At 45.0% G+C, this 18,235-nt stretch overlaps 1 protein-coding gene and 1 long non-coding RNA gene across 20 annotated transcripts, besides 5 other annotated features; one reads left to right on the forward strand and one right to left on the reverse strand.

Moving 5' to 3' along the window:
• Nucleotides 254-780: an enhancer, noted in NCBI's record as "H3K4me1 hESC enhancer chr16:49311724-49312250 (GRCh37/hg19 assembly coordinates)". NCBI's record gives its function as "activates a minimal SCP1, AML or CMV promoter by ChIP-STARR-seq in naive H9 embryonic stem cells {active_cell/tissue: H9 hESC(naive)}" and the evidence as "EXISTENCE:reporter gene assay evidence [ECO:0000049][PMID:30033119]".
• Nucleotides 358-4,279, reverse strand: CBLN1 (cerebellin 1 precursor). Its single transcript, NM_004352.4, has 3 exons — nucleotides 3,643-4,279; nucleotides 3,364-3,483; nucleotides 358-2,042 (listed from the first exon to the last, which is right to left on the reverse strand). The coding sequence occupies exons 1-3, from the start codon at nucleotides 3,904-3,906 to the stop codon at nucleotides 1,845-1,847; spliced, it is 582 nt and encodes a 193-aa protein (NP_004343.1). The 5' UTR covers nucleotides 3,907-4,279; the 3' UTR covers nucleotides 358-1,844.
• Nucleotides 781-1,305: an enhancer, noted in NCBI's record as "H3K4me1 hESC enhancer chr16:49312251-49312775 (GRCh37/hg19 assembly coordinates)". NCBI's record gives its function as "activates a minimal SCP1, AML or CMV promoter by ChIP-STARR-seq in naive and primed H9 embryonic stem cells {active_cell/tissue: H9 hESC(naive and primed)}" and the evidence as "EXISTENCE:reporter gene assay evidence [ECO:0000049][PMID:30033119]".
• Nucleotides 3,383-4,000: an enhancer, noted in NCBI's record as "H3K4me1 hESC enhancer chr16:49314853-49315470 (GRCh37/hg19 assembly coordinates)". NCBI's record gives its function as "activates a minimal SCP1, AML or CMV promoter by ChIP-STARR-seq in naive H9 embryonic stem cells {active_cell/tissue: H9 hESC(naive)}" and the evidence as "EXISTENCE:reporter gene assay evidence [ECO:0000049][PMID:30033119]".
• Nucleotides 4,353-4,462: a silencer, noted in NCBI's record as "silent region_7459". NCBI's record gives its function as "represses an Ori minimal core promoter by ATAC-STARR-seq in GM12878 lymphoblastoid cells {active_cell/tissue: GM12878}" and the evidence as "EXISTENCE:reporter gene assay evidence [ECO:0000049][PMID:35858748]".
• On the forward strand, nucleotides 4,503-16,649 carry SYNAGE (synapse stability regulating cerebellar lncRNA). 19 transcript variants are annotated; one of them, XR_007065067.1, is made up of 5 exons: nucleotides 4,503-4,673; nucleotides 7,924-8,064; nucleotides 9,808-9,916; nucleotides 11,845-12,096; nucleotides 12,179-16,649. It is a non-coding gene; the product is annotated as a synapse stability regulating cerebellar lncRNA (long non-coding RNA). The 19 variants fall into 19 exon arrangements; XR_001752147.3 differs by having other exon boundaries at nucleotides 10,161-16,649; XR_001752150.3 differs by having other exon boundaries at nucleotides 10,271-16,649.
• Nucleotides 4,833-4,932: a silencer, noted in NCBI's record as "silent region_7460". NCBI's record gives its function as "represses an Ori minimal core promoter by ATAC-STARR-seq in GM12878 lymphoblastoid cells {active_cell/tissue: GM12878}" and the evidence as "EXISTENCE:reporter gene assay evidence [ECO:0000049][PMID:35858748]".
• Nucleotides 16,650-18,235: the final 1,586 nt, after the last annotated feature.

Consider the following 18,235-nt stretch of genomic DNA (forward strand, 5'->3'; position numbering starts at 1 on the left):
GGGCTGCAAGGGCGCCCGCTAGAGCTGCTCCACGGCTTACCGGATTGCATGCGGAGAAGAAACGGGCCCGGGTTTCAACAGAGGCCCCGTGCTCCGTGAATTTCTAACTCGAACCAGCCGCTGGGATAAATCCGAGAAACGTTGTTTATTGTGCTATTATTAACTTTCCCTTCTCCCCACGCCCCTAGAGGAAATAAAATTCATTCCTGAATATTGGGCCAGGAAAACGTTTCTCTGAAAGGAACCACAACTGCAGGGGACCACCCGGCTGCAGCTCCCAGCTCCCGGCCCTTCGCCCTAGGCTGCCCACTCGCTCCGGCTCCCGACCTCCCCGCTGCCGAAGCAACTGGGTCAGCCTTTCAGACTTAAAACGAAGTCGTTTATTTCATTTTTGCTTTCACATTATGTTCCGATACAATCAAAACTCCTGGACGAACCTCTTGAATAAAGTCCTGTGAATGAGCGGAATCATAGGTCCTGGGCGCCCGAGTATGCGGCGGGTGGACTCCGGATTCAGAGGCGGTGTATAAAACATACGCTGCTTCGGGAACTGCGAGGGGGACGCGGTGGGAGACATCCGGGGACAGAAGGCCTGAGGAGTCTGCCGCTCCAGGCAGGGTCGTTTGGGTCCTCAAACTGGGACTATTCCTGATGCATTTGGAATGCAAAGAAAAAAATCAAACTTCGCTCCTGGGCCGGCGGCCGCGCCTGGCCTAGCAAGATTTCGGCCACATTTCTTACGTTTCCGCCAAAGCTGTGAACACAGGCGAATGCAGTGCTGGTCCCCGGCCTGGCGCAGGAAGGAGCGCAAGGCCGGCTTTGCAAGGAAGCCCTCGCGCCCAGGCCTTTCTATGGTTGCGTTCCCCCAAGTCTCCTGCCTTTCGGAACCTCGCCCTTTGGCACCCCAGACCCCCAACCTCGCAGCTGGGGAAGATGCGGATTTTAGAAAGCTGTTTCAGAAAAATAAAAGTCCCACTTCGACTTTATTAGATTAAAGCAAAATTAAACCTTGACTATTCACACGTATGTTACAGAGGAAGAGGAGGCGTCCGGAAGAAGCTCCTTGGCGTTTCGTGGAGTCACAGAGCACGACGGCATTGACAAGCATCAGAACATCAAGCAGCCTTAGATTTCACGATCACTCCGAATAGAACATAGAAATACGGAAACACAGCCAGTTTCCACTGGGAAGAGTTCTTCGTATACAAATGATATATATTTATATTTTTTAAACCAGTCACCACTAAGGTGAGTCCTTTCTCTGCTAACAAGCAGCCGAGGATACTAAGTATCTTCAGCTAATTAATTTGAGCAGTGTTTTAAGAAGAGCAACACTTGCCAAATTAAAACTACCTTCCCCATCCAAAACAAAACAACAACAACAACAAAACTTTACCCCTTTCCAAACTGAAAAAAAAAAGGTTGGGGGTGTGTAATATATCAGATTTCAGTAGGCAGAAGGATTCAGAGGGGGCTAGGGAGAAAGATTTCAGATTATGTAGTGAAATACAAAGTTTCTTTAAATAAATTGCAGGGAACATGAAGTTGGGGGATAAGAAACAATGACAAGGCAGTCTCTTTCTTGATTACTGCAACTGGAATGGGGGAGGCGAGTTTATTTTTGGAAATGGGAGTGCGCAGAGCTAAGCGAAATTTATTTCTCCTAATAAGGAAATGGACAAAGTTGTCCCACAGCTGGCGCGCACCTTTTTACCCAGATACAGTTAGAGAACATGTAGGAAGTTTCAAGTCGTGCTGCTTTCTCGCCCTCTTAATTTCAGCCTCTTTCTCACTCCCCTTCCTGCCTTCGCCCTCTCCCTGCCTCCCTTCCGGCTACGAGCCAGTCAGAGAGGAAACACCAGGAATCCGGAGAAGGTCGAGTACTTCCAGCCCCCCATCAAGTTTCCCCGCTCCAGCTTGAGGTATGCTCGGTCGCCTTTCTCCATTTGGATTAGGACTCCGTTGCTGGCGGCCTCCCGGGTCACGTCCTGGTCACCAGCGAAGGCTGAAATCACCGGCCACCCGTTTAGCATGAGGCTCACCTGAGAAAGAGAAAGGCCCGCTTCAGAGGCGCAACCTAGGCAGGCACCGAAGCCGCGGTGGAGCGAACCTCCTCCTTGCTTGGCTAACAGCCTGTAAGGCCTGGAAGCACGGAGAGGTGGGGGGTGGGGGGGGCGAATGGAGGAAAAGGGGCTTTGCAGCTTACTGCTGAGGCTCCAGTGGGGCGAAAGACCACACATCTGGGTGACAGGAAGGGCCTGTCCCCAAAACGGGAGTTGCTCTTATTCCAGTTTCTCAAATGAGCGCGCCAAGCGAATCTCGACTGTGCTCTGTGATCCAATTTAATAAACCCATGAGGTGGCTCTAGCGCCCTGAGACCTTTGACCTCTCTCCCGTTTCCCCTCAGCCTCAAAAAACAAACAACAAACAAAAAAAACCCAGCAACTCAGGCTCCTTCTGGCGCTACCGGAAAAACAAAAACGAACAAACAAAAAGCCCCTGATCCCTCCTGGACCCAGCTGCCAGGACACAGTGGAGAAGCCACTGTGATTTGTGATTAGAAGTCTCGCACCGAGCGGCACAATGTATTTCCTCCCCAAACCACGGGCTCAATTCCCTCCCCCATCCAGCCGCGCCCGCCACCGCCTGGTTTTGCCCCTGTGGTGGCACCGTCAGCCAAGGGCCTCGCGCCCTCTCCCCAGCTGTGCGTCCCACCTCTCTCGGCGCCCAAGGGAAACCTGGACATCTTTGGGGACCCGGAGAGCCGGCGAGTGATTGCTGGGACACGGCTGGAGCCGGGAGAGAGTAGCACTACGCCCCCTCCCTCCCTCCTCTCTCTACCCCTCACCCTCCGGGGCTAAATGCTGCTAGCTCAAAAACCCACAGTCCGCACGGGGTGGGGATTGGGGACAAGTGGGAGAAAACGGGGGCCCCGTCCGTGGTGCTGAAGACAAGCACGCAAGCCGCATCGCAGGCTTCTGAGCCGGGGCAAGGGGTAGGGTGTACTGTCGCGGTGCTTCCTGGGGAGTCCGGGAAGGCTTCCCAAGCGGCAGCTGTCTGGGGCGCTAACAACAGCCGTTACAAGGAAGTCCCTGAAATCCAGGGAACCCTTCGGAGAGGCCCGGAAGGCAGAAGCAGAAAATTCTGTCTCTCGGGGGATGGGGCTGGATCCCAAGAGCCAGAGACAGGGAAAGCAGAGGACAGTTGAAGCCACAGAACTGAGAGGCCCCGCTATCTGTCCCTCCAAGCAGCCCGAAGTACATGCAGCCGCCACTTCTGCCTACCACCTCCGGACAGCCCGAGCACCCCTGAGGCCAGTAACCCCCCTACGGGGCCAGGGCCCGGCACGAGGCGTCGGCTGACCTGTATGGTTTGTCTGTTGTAGACTTTTACCACGTGGAAGTTAAAACTGTAGATCCCTTTGCGCGGGGCGATGAAAGTGCTGCGTTCTGAATCAAAGTTGTTCCCAATGTTCACTAGTACCTATAACGAGACGGGAACGAAGGGGAGTGGGCAGGAATCGGTCCCGGACTGTCGTCCCCGCGCCTCCGCAGAGCCCTTGGAGAGGACCGGGCATCGGTCTTCCATCCATCCCTCCTTCACCAGCCCAATCTGCACGCCGCGGGAGGAAGGAACACTCACCTGGTCGAAGTAGATGATCATGGTGCGATTACTCATCTCGGACGGCTCGTGGTTGGTGCTCCTGATGGCAGAGAAAGCCACCTTGGCGCTGCCAGAGCGCACAGAGATGCCCAGGGCAGTGCCCGTGGGGTCGGACGTGGGGTTGGAGTCGCACACCACCAGGCACTTGCCCTCCAGCACGATGGGCTCCGTCTCATTCTGCCCGCGGGCCGGGCCCGCCAGCCACGCAGCCCCCAGCAGCAGCAGCTCCAGGACGCCCAGCATCGCGCCGCCGGCGCCCACCCCGCCCCCCACCCCCAGGGCTGCTCGCGCCAGCCGCCCCCCCCGTCCCAGTCCCGCTCCGAAGCCCCCTCCTCAGCTCCGTGCGCAGCTCCGCCGCCGCCGCTCTGGACACTACACCTCTTCCTCGCACTCCGGGACTAGCGTCCCCTCCGCGACTAGCGTCCCCTCCGCGCTGTGTTCCCGGAGCCCCTCCCGGGCCTCAGGGGTGCCGCGGCTGCCCAGCCGCACTTGGATGCATAGCCGCTGCTGCTCGGTCCCGCTGCTGCCGCCGCCTCCTGCCCGCACCCGCCGCTGCCGCCGCCGCCGCCGCTCTGAATTATTGATGCAGCCGGCGCTGCAGCCGGAGCGGGCGGAGAGCGCGCGCCGGGCACAAAGGCGCGGACCTCGGCCTGGCCCCGCCCCCGCCGCCTCCCGGCCCGCCTCCCTCCGAGGCCCTGCCCCCGCCCCGGCCGAGGCCACGCCCCCCAGCCAATCCTGACGCGCCGCGCTCCCCACCGAGCCAATGGCGGCGCTGTCCGCGCTCGGCCACCTGACCCCGGGCGCCGTTGTTATTAGGCGCGGCGAGGCGGGTGGCGCGCGGCAGCAGGGTTGGGCTCTCGCCGTGAGTCGACGAAGGGAGCGCGGGCGCGCGCCCGCGTCCGCGCACTGAGAGTCGCCTCGGCCGCTCGCTTTCTCGACTCCCGCCTCGCGCCTCGATCCTGTTCCGCCTCCCTCGGCCCTCCTGCCCGCCCCCACTCGTCGGCCCTCAGGTAGGAGGCGGCGCGCCCCGGGGTCGGGAGTGGAATCGCTGGAGGCTGCGAGTCGCCTGCCCGCCTGTGGGCGCGCCCGTTGGGAGGGGAGCGCCCCCCAGCGGGCGCGGGCGCGAGGGCAGCCGGCGCGCTGGGCGAGCCTGGCTCAGGGTCCCGGCGGCCGGGGTGCAGGGCGCGTGCGCGCGCGGCGGGGCGGGGCCTGCGCGGCTCTGGCGGGCGCACGTGGTGCCCGGGAGCTGCTGGGCGGGCACTCACCGCGGGGACTCGGTGCGGAGCCGGGGCGCCGAGTGTCTCCGTGTCCCTCTGCCCCAGCCGGCGGCCGCGATGGTGGAGCTTGGCCTCTCGCTCTCTCCCGCCTCTCCAGCGACTGCTCTGCCGGCCGCGGAGGTCGGATCGAGCGGTCATTCATTCATTTGTTAATTCGTTCACTTATTCAGGGGAGATCATTGAACCCCTACGGAGTACCGGGTACTGGGCCGGGCGCTGAGGACGCGGGGCTGAGCAAAAGCAGCCGAGGCCCACCTTCGTGCCCCTTAAAACCCAGCGTGCGGGGCGGCAACGAGTACTGCTTTTCTGTTTTGCACTTAAAATTTACATTTTGCATCCGTACTTTTTATTTACTGTGCACCCTTACGGCATGCTTTACGCACCCGTACCTGCACCTCCTAGCCTTGAGTGTAGACACCAGATCCTGAGATGGGCGATTTTTCGAGAATAATTTTTACCCTAAGTGGATTTTCGTGCCACGCATGGACTTGGAACTACACACACGTAGTCCAAAACGTGAAAGTCAAAATGCAGCTTTGCCAAGTGGCAGGGAGAAAGGAGAGCTGAGAAGATGAGGAGAGGAAGGGCGCGCTCCAGGCTTTCCAGCCCGGGTGCGGTAGACGTAGCCCTGAAGGATGAACCCAGGCTGGTAGTAGGGCGGCGGGAGGGCGGGGGGACCTGTCAGTCAAGTCCAAAGCAGAAACGCGGCGCCGGATCCCAGTCAGAGGCCGGCTGGAACGCTTCCCACAGGCTCCTGGCGCTCCGGTCCCCACCAGGCGACCTTGATCCTGGCGTGCTCAGCGGAGCCAGCGCAGCGTCGGGAGCTGGAGAGACGCGGGGCGCCGGCTGAGCGCTCCTGCCCTCTGCCTCTGGGCTAGCCTCTGGCCCGGCCTCCCGGCCTCCCCCAGGGTACGCTCTCCCCCAAGAGCGAACACCAGCTTTGGGATCGCCAGCAGCCACGTCTCTGCTTCTAGATCTCTTTTTTTTTTCTTTGAGACTTAGTTGATAGCTGTTTAAGGAATTATGTGGAGGAAATCTCACCTCCGACCCCCGCCCCCGTTGAGCACGGCCGGCCAGGGTCGCTGGGTGGGCCAGGAGGAAAGAAAGGGGCGGGGAAGAAGCAGCAATTTTACTTTAAATTAAAATGACACAAAAATATTTTTTCAACTCAGATCTTTCTGAGACATCCCCAGAAAGCGTTGCAAGCTGTGATTACACCTAATGTGAGAGCATGAACTAATTTAAGAGGTGAGAGCTGCATAATGAGGCTGCCTCCCGTGTAGCAGCCAAGACTGGCAGCTCTGGCGGCGCGCTGGAGGGGACCGGGAGGGGCACCCTTGTAGAACCAGTCCCTGGCGCCCTGGGATCTTCTCAGTGCCCTGGCGCTGTGTTGTCGGTCACTCCACAGATATTACAGGGTGCCTCCTGAATGCCGGGTTGCAATCAAGAGCAAGAGATGGGGCGAGTGAAAGAGCCTGTTTTCAGGAGCTCAGCATCAGGATGACGATTACCTAGAGGGAGGTGGTGGCCAGCCTCCCCCTCTTCTCTTCATGCTGAGGCTCTGGTGGGCAGTGCCCAAGCCTGAACTGCCATCTGTATGCCAGTGGTTACCCAACTTGTATTTTCAGTCTTAGCCTCTCTCTGGTCCAGACTTGTCATTCTAAGGGCCCTTTTTCACTGACTCACATTGTCTCCTCCCTCCCTGCCTTCCAAACTCAGCCTTTTCCTTTTTCCCTTTCCCACTGACAACAGCTGCACGACCCCCCCGCCCCCCCACGAGGTGAAAATTCCCAAGAACCCCATGTCTAACCTAACTCCCTCTCTATGTCCTGTTGCTTGAGCCATTCTCATTAGGCTGCCTGTTCGGAGTTCATTATCTCCTAATTTTTCATCCAGGAATTGATGAAGAATCACCTACTGCCTCTCCCACACACTGTTTATTCTTTCATTTGATGATATCTGTTAAGTGCCCTGAGATATGTAACCTCCACTTCCCTCCCATATAAGTGAGATTTCACGTTGATTACTTCCTTGGCTTTCCTCATCCCTTATCCACATAGCATGTGTTCAAAATAATGAATATTAATTTAATGTTAATAGATATGTGCTTTCCTGAATTGTGAGGATTAAATGAAATCATGTATATAGGGAGGAAAATCCATTAGAAACCTCAAAAGCAGTTATGTTTATTTTTGCTATTGTCACATTGTTAGAGTCAGAATTCTTTTAGCTGCAAGTGACAAAACCAACTCAAACTGGCTTAAGGACTTTATTGGTTGATGCAAAAAGCCTCGGGTTAGGTCTTGCCATTTAAGGTAGGGCTGGATCCATCAATCCGGGTTACCAGGATCTGTTTTCTAGTTGTGGCTTCATTTTCAGACAAGTTGTTTCCATATGATAGCCTCATAGAAGGTACTACCAGCTTAGTCCTAGCAAGAAAAAAGAGTACTTACTCTTCAATATTTGCAGCAGAAGTCCCAGGTCTGTTCTTATGAGGGCAGTTTGAGTCACTTGCTCTTCTCTGAACGTGGAGAAGGCACTGTTTAGATGATGGAGGTTGGATTCAGGTGCATCCCCTGGAATGGGGTTTGGCATTAGCTTCACGTGGTCTAGAATAAAGGGGTTCTCCAAAGGAAAATTAGGGTAGGAATGCTGAGTAAGCAGAACAAACAGATGTCTACTTTAGTCCTTCCCAAAGGGTGAGCTGCAATACATTGCAGACTATCAGAATGGTGATGAACACGGATGCAGTAGCCAAGAAAATAGATGTGTGTTTGTCGTGGTCTTTTTCAGTCTTCAAGATCTCAGTTAAACATGAAGTCAACCACTCACTATGATGTTATTTGAGGTTTAGCTTTGAAGTGGAAATGTACCACAAATAGTAGAGCCAGATAAATACAAATAAATAATTTTAACAGTCCATTCTAAAAGATTTCTTTGGTAATATTCTGTTGGAATTGATTTCTATCTTTTCATTTGTTAGGTTCCTGGAAAGTGAAAATTTCATTTCTTTGTGGACAGGTACCTAAAATGTCTCATTATTCATCAATTAATGAAAAACAAATGAAAATTTGAGAGAGATATTCTGAAGAATAAAAGGATCAAGTTGGGTCATTTCTAAAATGTAAGATTATAAGGTTTAACTTGCTAAGACTTTTGAGGGGTTGAATTATTGGTAAATTATTATAGAACCACTTATCTGAGGCTTTTAAAAGTGATGTGTTACAGAGATTTAGGGAACTGCAAGATTGCAGATAAAGAATTTATACTGTCAACTGTTCTATACTTTACCTTCTGCTTTAAATGCGGCCTTATATTTTGAAGTCAAACATTTATTTTCTCTCACTGCGTTCTGAATTTCCTACCACAGTGCATTTTGAGAAATGAATATAACAGCAGTCTTCATAGATGCCATATTCATGGCAACTCTGTCCCCCGCCAACACCACACCCTGGAAAAAAACCAACTTTCTATTGTTGGAATGAGGTAACATTTTCAGGAAAAGGGAACCATTTTCTCACAGGATATAGAACAAATTCAACCTTTTATTAAATCAAAATGGATTCTCTAATGTTTATACATATCATATAGGATTTCATCTCTTTCAATCTTGGTTCAAAGGCCCAGACAGTACCATTCCCTAGTATTTAGTCCATTTGCTCATAAAGCAGAAGAGAAAAGCTACTTTGTTCCGAAGGGTGTTAGATTTAGGATTCCAAGGTTATTTCAAATTAATGCCTGGAACTAGACTATAAAATGCAGGAAAGATTCTAAGTTGTTCAAAGATGAAATATCTTAACTTTCACCAAAAACTCTGTCTTCTGGGTATTTTTTGTTTTTCTGCCTTTCCAGATTTATTTTAAATACAACATTTTTGCTGTTTACATTTTTAAAAGTTACATTTCAAAATTGTTCATAATTGGACACTTTCATAAAATGTAGGCAAATGCAGTTTTACTTTTTAATGAAGGACAAGTCTGTTGATAACATTTTGATTCTTAAAATTTTTTTTATCTTATAAAAATGAAACAATGCATTTAAAGTGTCTTCAGCTCTTATGTTAATACCAAATTATACATTTTCTTAGCCCATGTTCAGGAGAGACAATATATCTTCCAAATTAAGAGAAGCTGGCACCATTTTTAAAACAAGGCCTTGAATCTGCTGTGGTATGTGCTGGTAGGAATTTTGTATGAAGCTGTTATTGAAGTAGATGACATTAAGGTCAAAGGAAAAAAAAAACAGAAAATAATGTAATCCTACAGAGCTGCTCTTAAGATCTTGAGAGAAAAACCACGTAGGTAACATCAAACACTAGTTGGAATCTTTCCAAGAAGTAATTATCTGTGTGCTGTTTGTGGTGGTTGATTATGGGAACAAACCAAGGTTTAGCCAATTCAGCAAACATTTATGGAGTGCCTGCAATGTGCATGTCACTGTTTTAAGGCCTGTGCCTACTGTAAAGGTGACCCACACATGATGCCTGCCTTGCAGGACTTGGAGTTCAGCGATAATAAGAGATGCATACCTGAAAAGCCTATTTAAGACTCTTCCGGTTCTACAAAGAAGGCTTCTTGAAAGTGGTAGCTTTGATTACTCTTTGGATTTATTTACATTTATCCTATAATCAGAAGGTATACAAAACAGACTCACACATATATAAAATTAATAGATTAGATAGCATTTAAACAAATATTTCAGGTAGGTACTTCAAATGCATTTGACATTTATCAAAGAAATGGTAAGTGCTGTCATCCGTGGGTGGCTGGATTAACATGTGGGACTACTTATCACCAATTTTGTTAGGGATCTTAGGGAAATTCCTGGATCTTATATTCACAAGCAATTGTATAAATACTTCCCACAGCTCAGAGACCTAATAGGATGGGGTCTTAGAGAAACATCTTTTGAGCCACAGACTTCTTTGTTACCAGAAGGAAAATGAAAGAAGAAATTTAAATACCACTTGAAGAGAGGTAAATAAATGAGAAATGGGGCTGAGAGGGCGGGTATTTTTTTAAAAATTCATTAAATGGAAAAATCCACAAATGTTAATTCTGGTAGATTTCTTAGAAATTACATCAGAGGAGCATGCTTGGTCTTCCCACCCTCATTAGGCCTCAGTGACAGGTACTTGAACAACTGAGCCCCTAATGTGCATGCTCCCCCACCCCTGAAGCCAGTCTCTGCCCTCCTCTTCCCTCCTCTTGCCCCTGGAAGCTGATCGCCACCAACTGGCCTCTGGGTGGATTTGGCCAATGGAAGCACCTGTAGAGGGAAGAGAGTGAGGTTAGGATATTTCTTCCTGCTGTCTCCGTGCTTCCCTGCAGAGAGTGTGAAGAAATGACCCTGAAAAGCCTCTGGCAGAGGATTCTTCTTTCAGGATGGTGTCGCCTCCTCAGCAGCCCATCCTCCTCCCCTGGACTCAAGCTCTCATTCCAGTAACACTCCTTCCTCCTTCTCCATCTTCAGGGGGAGGTTTGCCAGTCGGTGGGTTCTAAGCATATCTCGCTGATTCCCCCCAACCCTGCCGACACCTCTGTAGGTCGTCCCTTCATTAAAATCTCTCCATTTGAACTATCTGAGTTTAATTCCATTTCCTCCTGGTATCTCAGTGATACACGGTATCAGTACAAAAATCTCGCTTCACCTTCAGAACCAACAGATTTGAGACATTTTATCCTCTGTGGAACCATTAGTTATTTTGTCATTGGTTGTATCAGAAAAAAAAATCAGGAATGCAAATCCTTCTTTATTACAGATTCAGATTTGCATATTACCAATGTTATATATTTTAAACAAAACTATTCATCATAAGTTTTAAAAATTAACTACTGGAGTAGTTAATGAATCTGAATGTAATTATGTAGCTTTCATAATATTAAAGTAAAAATACTAAAAGAAGTATTTCTTAAAGAAGCAAATGCTCAATCTCCAAGTAAATTTTATTCTATGCTCTTCCGGTATAAGAATATGTTAATATCTTGAAAAATATCATATTATTTTGTGAACTCATAAAGCTATTTTGAGTTTTTGTAAAATGAAAACCTTACCAAAATGTATTTTATTGTTGGAAAGCTTGACCGTTACTGCTGTTTAATTTTTTGAGCTTGTAAACTTTATTTGTGCATGTTTTCAACAAAGAAGGATTTTATTGTTATTACATAAAACAGGTGATTTCTAGATTTTAAAATCACAAATTGAAAGCAAGGCACAATAATATATATTTCAAGATATAGGTACTTAGGAGGCATCCTTTTAGTCATCTGTTCAATGTAGCCATCTATTTTACACCTACTGTCTACTATTGTTTGAGGTCCTTGCCAAAGTATTGCAGGCTAGTTAGGAAACATAAAACAATTAGAAAGTAATCTATGACAAGTAAGCTATCTATAAATGGCAATGAAGGGTAGAACAAATTCAATGAAAATATCTATTTAATCCTAGTGTTTACTGGTCTAGAAGAATAGGCTGAGTAAATTAGTATTTCTCTGGCTGTTGTGGTAACACATTGCATGCTATAACAGTTTTAAGTAATTACAGGTGCATTGAAATTTATCTATGGCTTTGTCATCATATTCTAAAATGTCATGAGTACTTTTTTCTGACCTCAATTACTATGAAATTGGTTTCCAATATTTAATTAACCAAGAATATCAAGTCTATAGGGTATTATTAAGGTGAGACTTCTGTAGCCTTTTCAATAAAGACCAGAATTTTGGAGTGCCTTGAACCTTAATCATTGATCTTTAATTCTTATTAAGTCAACTGCCCACCTTTTAAAGACTGAGGCCCAGGAAGAGTAAGTTTCTCTGAGACAATGCATACAGTACAGTGCTTCTTGGGTATTGGCTCTAAGACCAGATGCAAAGAAAGGCTAAAATCCCATTTCATTGTTCATTAGGTGAGAACCCTTTGTTAAGCTGTGTAACCTCTGTGCATAGTTTCCTCATCAGCAAAGTCAGAAAAAGTATGTACCTGAAGGACTGATTGTAAGGCTGGGATGAGAGAATCCATGTGATCAGCCCTCACCAACAGGTGCTGCCCAGTTCATGAGTGCTGCTGCTGTCCTGCCCAAGTACCCAGCTTGCAGAGTGCCAGAGTTAGAGTCCCAGGGGTGTTCTCCACAGCTGCATGCTTGATCCAGGCCTATCAGGTGAGTTGGCTCTTGGCTAGTGGTTTTTCTTCTCTTGCTGTACAAAAGTCCAGACAGTAATGTCTTTTTTTCATTTTTATAGATATATTCCATTGAAAGTCCTCATTCTCAAATTTAAAACAAAGACTTTTTGTGTACCTCAATAGCAATGCACACACAGTTGGCTTCACAAACATATTGTACATTTCTTTTTTTCATATTTATTCAACAAATGTATATTGACTACCCACCGTGTGACAGGTGTTATTTGTTGACGGAACCAGGCATCATCAGCAAACAAAACTGACAAAGCTTCCTGCCCTCTGTGGAAGGCATCTGAGGAAGAGACTGGATTTTGTAGCAACATGTTATTCTCATTATAAACTTTATCATTGGAATACTAAAGCCAAATCATCCCCCATCTCCTTGATCAGGATACCCACTTAATCTAGGCAGCTACACAATTGTGAGAGCCTTTGTTTTTTTCTGCTGAAACATCCTTAAAAAGATACCTCACAACCCAAGATTTGGCTTTTCTTAAATACGATTTTTAATTTTTTTCATTTCTATCTAGAGATTTAATTGGAAATGGAAAATCATCAATTTTCCAATTAAATGTCTGTTCCAATCAACATTATACCTTTTAGGTTGTCATTGTCATTTTTAAGTTTAAGCAACTTTAAGGATTTTGAATCTGGCTGCCTGTAAATTAAAGGTGAAAGTAATCATTGTGTTGGATTGGAACATTTTGTCAATTGAGAGTGGTTTCCTTGTTCTTAGTGTATGAAAAGTTTATTTTTCTAATGTAGATTAATAAAGGAGATAAAGAAAAACAAAATGAGTGATTTATGTGTGTGAGAAAAGAACCATTTCCTCAAGGATTAAATAAAATTCATACCTTTTGTTTCTTTTGAAAAGTTTTTAAAATAAATTTTAATGAATGTGTCCTTTAAATATTCCTTTAAAAATGTATCCTATTTTAAAATGGACTCTCTGAGAGAAGGAATTGATACCTGTGTTTAAAATCAAAAATAGCATGCATAGAGACTGTTTTTCTAGTTGGTTGAAGCTTTTTTCCCTCTCCTTTACATCAGTGAACCAGCATCTTGCCCTTCAGACCCTACAGCACACTCTTGGGCTCATGAAGTGTATGACACATCCTCCTTGGGGGATCGGCCATGTCCTCGCTCTCATGACCACATGAATTCTTCTGTATGTCTTTTCTCACAGCTGAGTACTCTCTTCCTGACCCCCTTGTGGAATGGGGAAAGGAGGCTGTGACATTGTGCTTGTGCAAACAATAATTGAGAGCTTTCCGAGTCTCCTGCATCTTCATAAATGATTTTTTGTTTTATGCTGGGACAGTAGTTCTTTAAATAGAATATTCTCCCATGGAAATCGCCCACAATGCTGAGAGTACACCTTGCAAAAGGTAAGTCTAGAATATAGGGTGCCTCCTCAGCATTGCCCAGAAGCTGAAGTTAGGACTCTCTAGAATACCAAAAACAAATTTATAGCAGTTCATTAATGTAAGGAATTATGAAAACTGTGTGCCACCATTATCCATAGATGAAACAAGAGCCACCACGCAAGCACAGACACAAAGCCCTGAAGATGAAGCCATTGACAGGGCTCTCATTTATTCTGTAGAAACCCACTTGCCTGTTTTTGAACCAGTTTTCTTTGGAGCATATGTCTCACTGTGCAACCAAAGTGGTGTTTATATCCTAGTCACTTGGCAAAAATTCTGTCATTGCTTCAGGGAGATCCATTTTAGGCCTGAAGCATGGAGCTGGTAATAGATGGGATTTGGTACTTCTGAAGAAAAGACCCTACTGCAAATTTAGAGAGTTAATTTTTTCTTTTGTTCCCCATAATATTGTTGCTAGATAGAACTACCTTTTTTGACTAGAAGTTAAATATAGAGGCCTAAATCAATTAGGTAACTCCCACTCATTCTAAATGAGAACATGTTTGTTTTTCTCCAACGAGATGAGAAATATTTGAGGCGCTTCCTGATATCTCTATCACCCACTGCATTTTTTCACTTGATGTATATTTCCCCATGTATTTGGGATAATTTTCAAATAATTGCCCTTTAGAAATCTACTTGATATTAAATGTAAAAAAAAAGCAAGATGCAAAATTATTATAGGATGCATTTACAGAAATTACAAAATTTCTATAAACTATTTATGGAGGAAGACTTATAGAGTATATGTCAACACATTGCTTTATTATTGTCCTTGGTTATGAGTATGGTTTTTTTGAAACCTGCTTTGTACTTTGGGTGTTTTCTCACCATTGGTACAATTGAGGCATTTTTCCCTCTTCTTCAACCTTGCAAATCACACGTGAGGATGCTCATAGAAGTGCCTCTCAGACAGGCTGTTGTTTTGCTTTCACCAATAAATCATTTATAATTAGAAGTAGAAAACTATTCTTTCCAGTGCAAATACATCCCTTTCAAAAGCAGTTCTCTTTTTGTGAATGATGTCTAGTGTCTAAGAAACGAGGGTAACCTTTATTATATGCATTGCTCTAATCGAAGCATTGTTTTTTGCGGTGAACTCAAGGTTACATGTTTAAGAAAAGCATCGGGTTAATTCCATTAGGAAAAGTGTCTTATTCATAAACCTTTAGCCACTGGAAAAACACCATTAGGAGGCCACACAAGTGTGTATAGCTGGATAGAATTTGACAACTGGCAAAACAAAACAATAGCCTACAATTGCAGAGTGCTGTCTGTTTAAAAACCAACATATCTTTCACCAACAAATACATATTCACCTCAACACGAGACTTTCATGTGGTTATTAATATCAAATTTTTGAATGTCCAAATTTTGGAGTGTAGTCTAGCAGAGGTAAACTGATTTGCCTAAGGTCCTTCAACTGTCAGAGGTAGAATTATTTTCTCTCTCCTGGCTCTAAAACCTGTCCAGATTCTCCTGCAACACTGTCCTTCAAAAACACACTTCCGCTGACTCCAGTGCTGGTGATGTCATGCTTTAGCTAGTAGTTAGAGGTGACTTAACTTTAAATATGGAATCTTTTTTTCCTATTAAGCAATGAGGTTTAGTTTGAAAATTCTTAGAGATGATAAACCCCTCTCCTTTTTTTCTTCCTTCTCCTCTTTTGTCCTGAACAATGTTCCATATATATTACTGCCAGAAACAGATTCTTGACATTCCTGTTATGCTTTTCCACATCTTGTAATCATTTCTACAGCTGTTAGCATTGCCAACAATTATATTTCCACTTTTAAAAAATTGTTACAAAGATGCAGAGAGAAAAGAGGAAAGCCAAGGAATAAACTACAGGCAATTATGGGATATTTTTGTGATGTGACATTTTGGGAACTGAGGCAGCATCACTGATACTGCACTACTTTTTAATATCTAGATTTTAATCTTTTGTATGAAGATAAAATTCACATGCCTTAAACCTGACCACAACATAATAGGGCATTTATTTTTCTAATTTTGATACCATCCACATTTCTTAACTATAAGAAGAATGCTTATGTTGTACCAGGTTATATGATGTTGCCAAGAAGTAGATGTGTACCATTTACTAATACATCCTTTTGGAAAATGCGTATTAATAACATATTAAGGAGTAAATTGACGTTGTGCAAAGTGAGCCTGTGAGTTTAAATGTATGGATTGTACACCTTGCTCTTCCTAATTGCAGATTTAACAGGATTTGATGACCTAATGAGTTTATTTCTGAATGATTTATATTTCTTTGTCAGTTCAATGATTTAGTATTTTAAATTTTTTTAAATCACATTTTATTGAGATAATGCTATTAGTGTTTCTTTCCCATCACTTAACAAAGTTAAGTCACTCCTCTCCCACCCCACTTTTGTACCTACCAATGTTTTTTTCACAGTTACAGGCTGATTGGCTTGACGTGTCTTAGGATACCACCCAAAGAGAGCTTCATTTTATAAATACCAAGCTCATTTTCCTAAATATTTTCAAAAAGATAGATTTATCCTCATATAGTAAATTCAGATTAATAATTTTGGAAAGGGTCATGTGACCATGGTATTACATGGCTGTGGAAGACCCTCCAAGATCTTGTTTTGGGATAGAAGGACTCAGACATCCAAACTTTTAAATTAATGAACTTATTAAATTCTAAAACTTTGTAACAGTGTTAATTTGAGAAGTATAATATTTTGCTTAAGGTCTGTTTTGCTTTGCAAAATGCATCTCCTTCATTTTCATATTATGTTGGAAGCTTAGCATGAAAGAACGTGCCTCAGAGGAAACCATAGGTAAGCATACTTTAACAAAAGTTAGTGTCATCATGTTTGTGTCTTTGCCTGTGGTTTTTTAAATGTATAATGTTTAACGTTGATTTGGCTATCAAATTACATTTTCTTTTGTTAAAAAATTCTGTAAATTAGAAATGTACTGAATCATTTATTTAGCAGACTGAAGGTGGGTAATGTTGGCTGAACAGGTTTAAGCCACAGTAATTTGAAAATGTAAATACATAAAATAATGTCATTTCTCTTCCACTCAATGTTTCTTCACCAAATAAAGTCCAGCCTGCTCTGAATTTGTTGCCAGTAGGAACAATGTTACAGTGAATCATGGTTTAATATACCTTGAAAATGGCACATCTGTTCTGTGATAGCTTACCAATTTTAGCCTCTTTATAAAATACGAAGAGTTTGTCAACCAGAATAATCTAGAACCTGGCAATTCAAATACCATTCAAAGCAAATGTTTTATCTAATAACTGGAACTAAATGTTAGGCCTCATGACAGTTCAATATTTACTAAATAAGTTTAATAACAGGGTAAGCCCTCAGTATCCAGAGCAGAGACAAGCACACCATATTTACACATACAAATTCTGCCTTTAGCCATCTGAAAGGGCCCCGAACTATTGCAGCAAGCAAAGAGTCTTTGCATTGTCCTAAAATCCATACAATACTTTATATTTTACACATTTTAATAGCTAGTTTAACAAATAACAAGTACCATGCTTAATTCTCTGCATGCATTATTTCAACTAATTATTGGAATAATCTTATAAAGTGGGTACTTTCGTCTCAGCTTACAGGTGAGAAAACAAAAGTTAAATAGATCGCCCAGGGCTCTGCTGGAACGTGTTAAGCAGGGATTTCAGCCTGTCCAGTCAGACCCCAGAAGTTGTGTTCTTAACCATTAGCAACACATCATCCCAGGCAGGCCCTACATGAGCCTCATAACCAATTTTATGCTGGATAGTATTATCCCTATTTCACAGATGGCAAAACTGAGGTCCAGAGACTTTAAGTGACCTACCCAAAATTACAGTCATGAGCAGAGGCACTGGAATGTAGGGCCTTGACACTCTACCTCACGTGGTCCTCTTTCCTGTTTTGGGTAGTTCTCCACTACCACTACTCATTTCTGATGCTGGAAAGGCTGTGTTTTATACATTTCTGTTTCTGGCTTGGAACGAAACACTCTGGGTCTCTGCTTGATCAGTGTCCCCTCTAAACTGCACCTCACTACAGTAGGGATGGCATAAGATACTTCTTTACACAGCATCTTTTTGTTCCCACCTCACCCCCAGAGCTGTAATAGGTAGAGCCAGCCAAATGTCAAAGGGATGATTTGTCTTGTCACCACTAGTTTCCCTTTTCTCTGCCTTGTATGTAACAGGAATATTCTTTAGTTCCTCCTTATGTTCTAAAGCACCTCCCCAACCTAAAAATAGAAGAGGAGTTGTGGGTCATTTACACTTTAGTGTGAATTTGCCCTTGTGACTTTGCCAAGGCTGTTGTGCCTAACCCTTTCAATCTAACAGCAGAATGAGAGTCTCTGGACTATCCTGGCTCCTTCCCTGAGAAGAATGAACTGGGAATTGTTGGTCTAGACATCAAGACTACCAGAGACCTATTGCTCAGAGATGTTTGGGCTGTACAATTTCTGTAGATATGGCATCTGGAGCAGCCTTTTCTAAGCAATGGCATTATCATTCCAGGCTCTCTCGCTCTTTCCATCTCTCCACCAGGTGGACTCTTGCCCTCCACCCCTTCCAATTTGTCAGTGATTCAGAGAACATTCTCCATCCTTCCAATGATTACATTCCTTCATCTTGCTGGGGCGCCAATTCAGTGATGGAGCGGCTCTTGGGAGCAGCCTTGGCTT

Source organism: Homo sapiens, chromosome 16 (assembly GCF_000001405.40).
Source record: "Homo sapiens chromosome 16, GRCh38.p14 Primary Assembly".
NCBI classification, from domain to species: domain Eukaryota; kingdom Metazoa; phylum Chordata; class Mammalia; order Primates; family Hominidae; genus Homo; species Homo sapiens.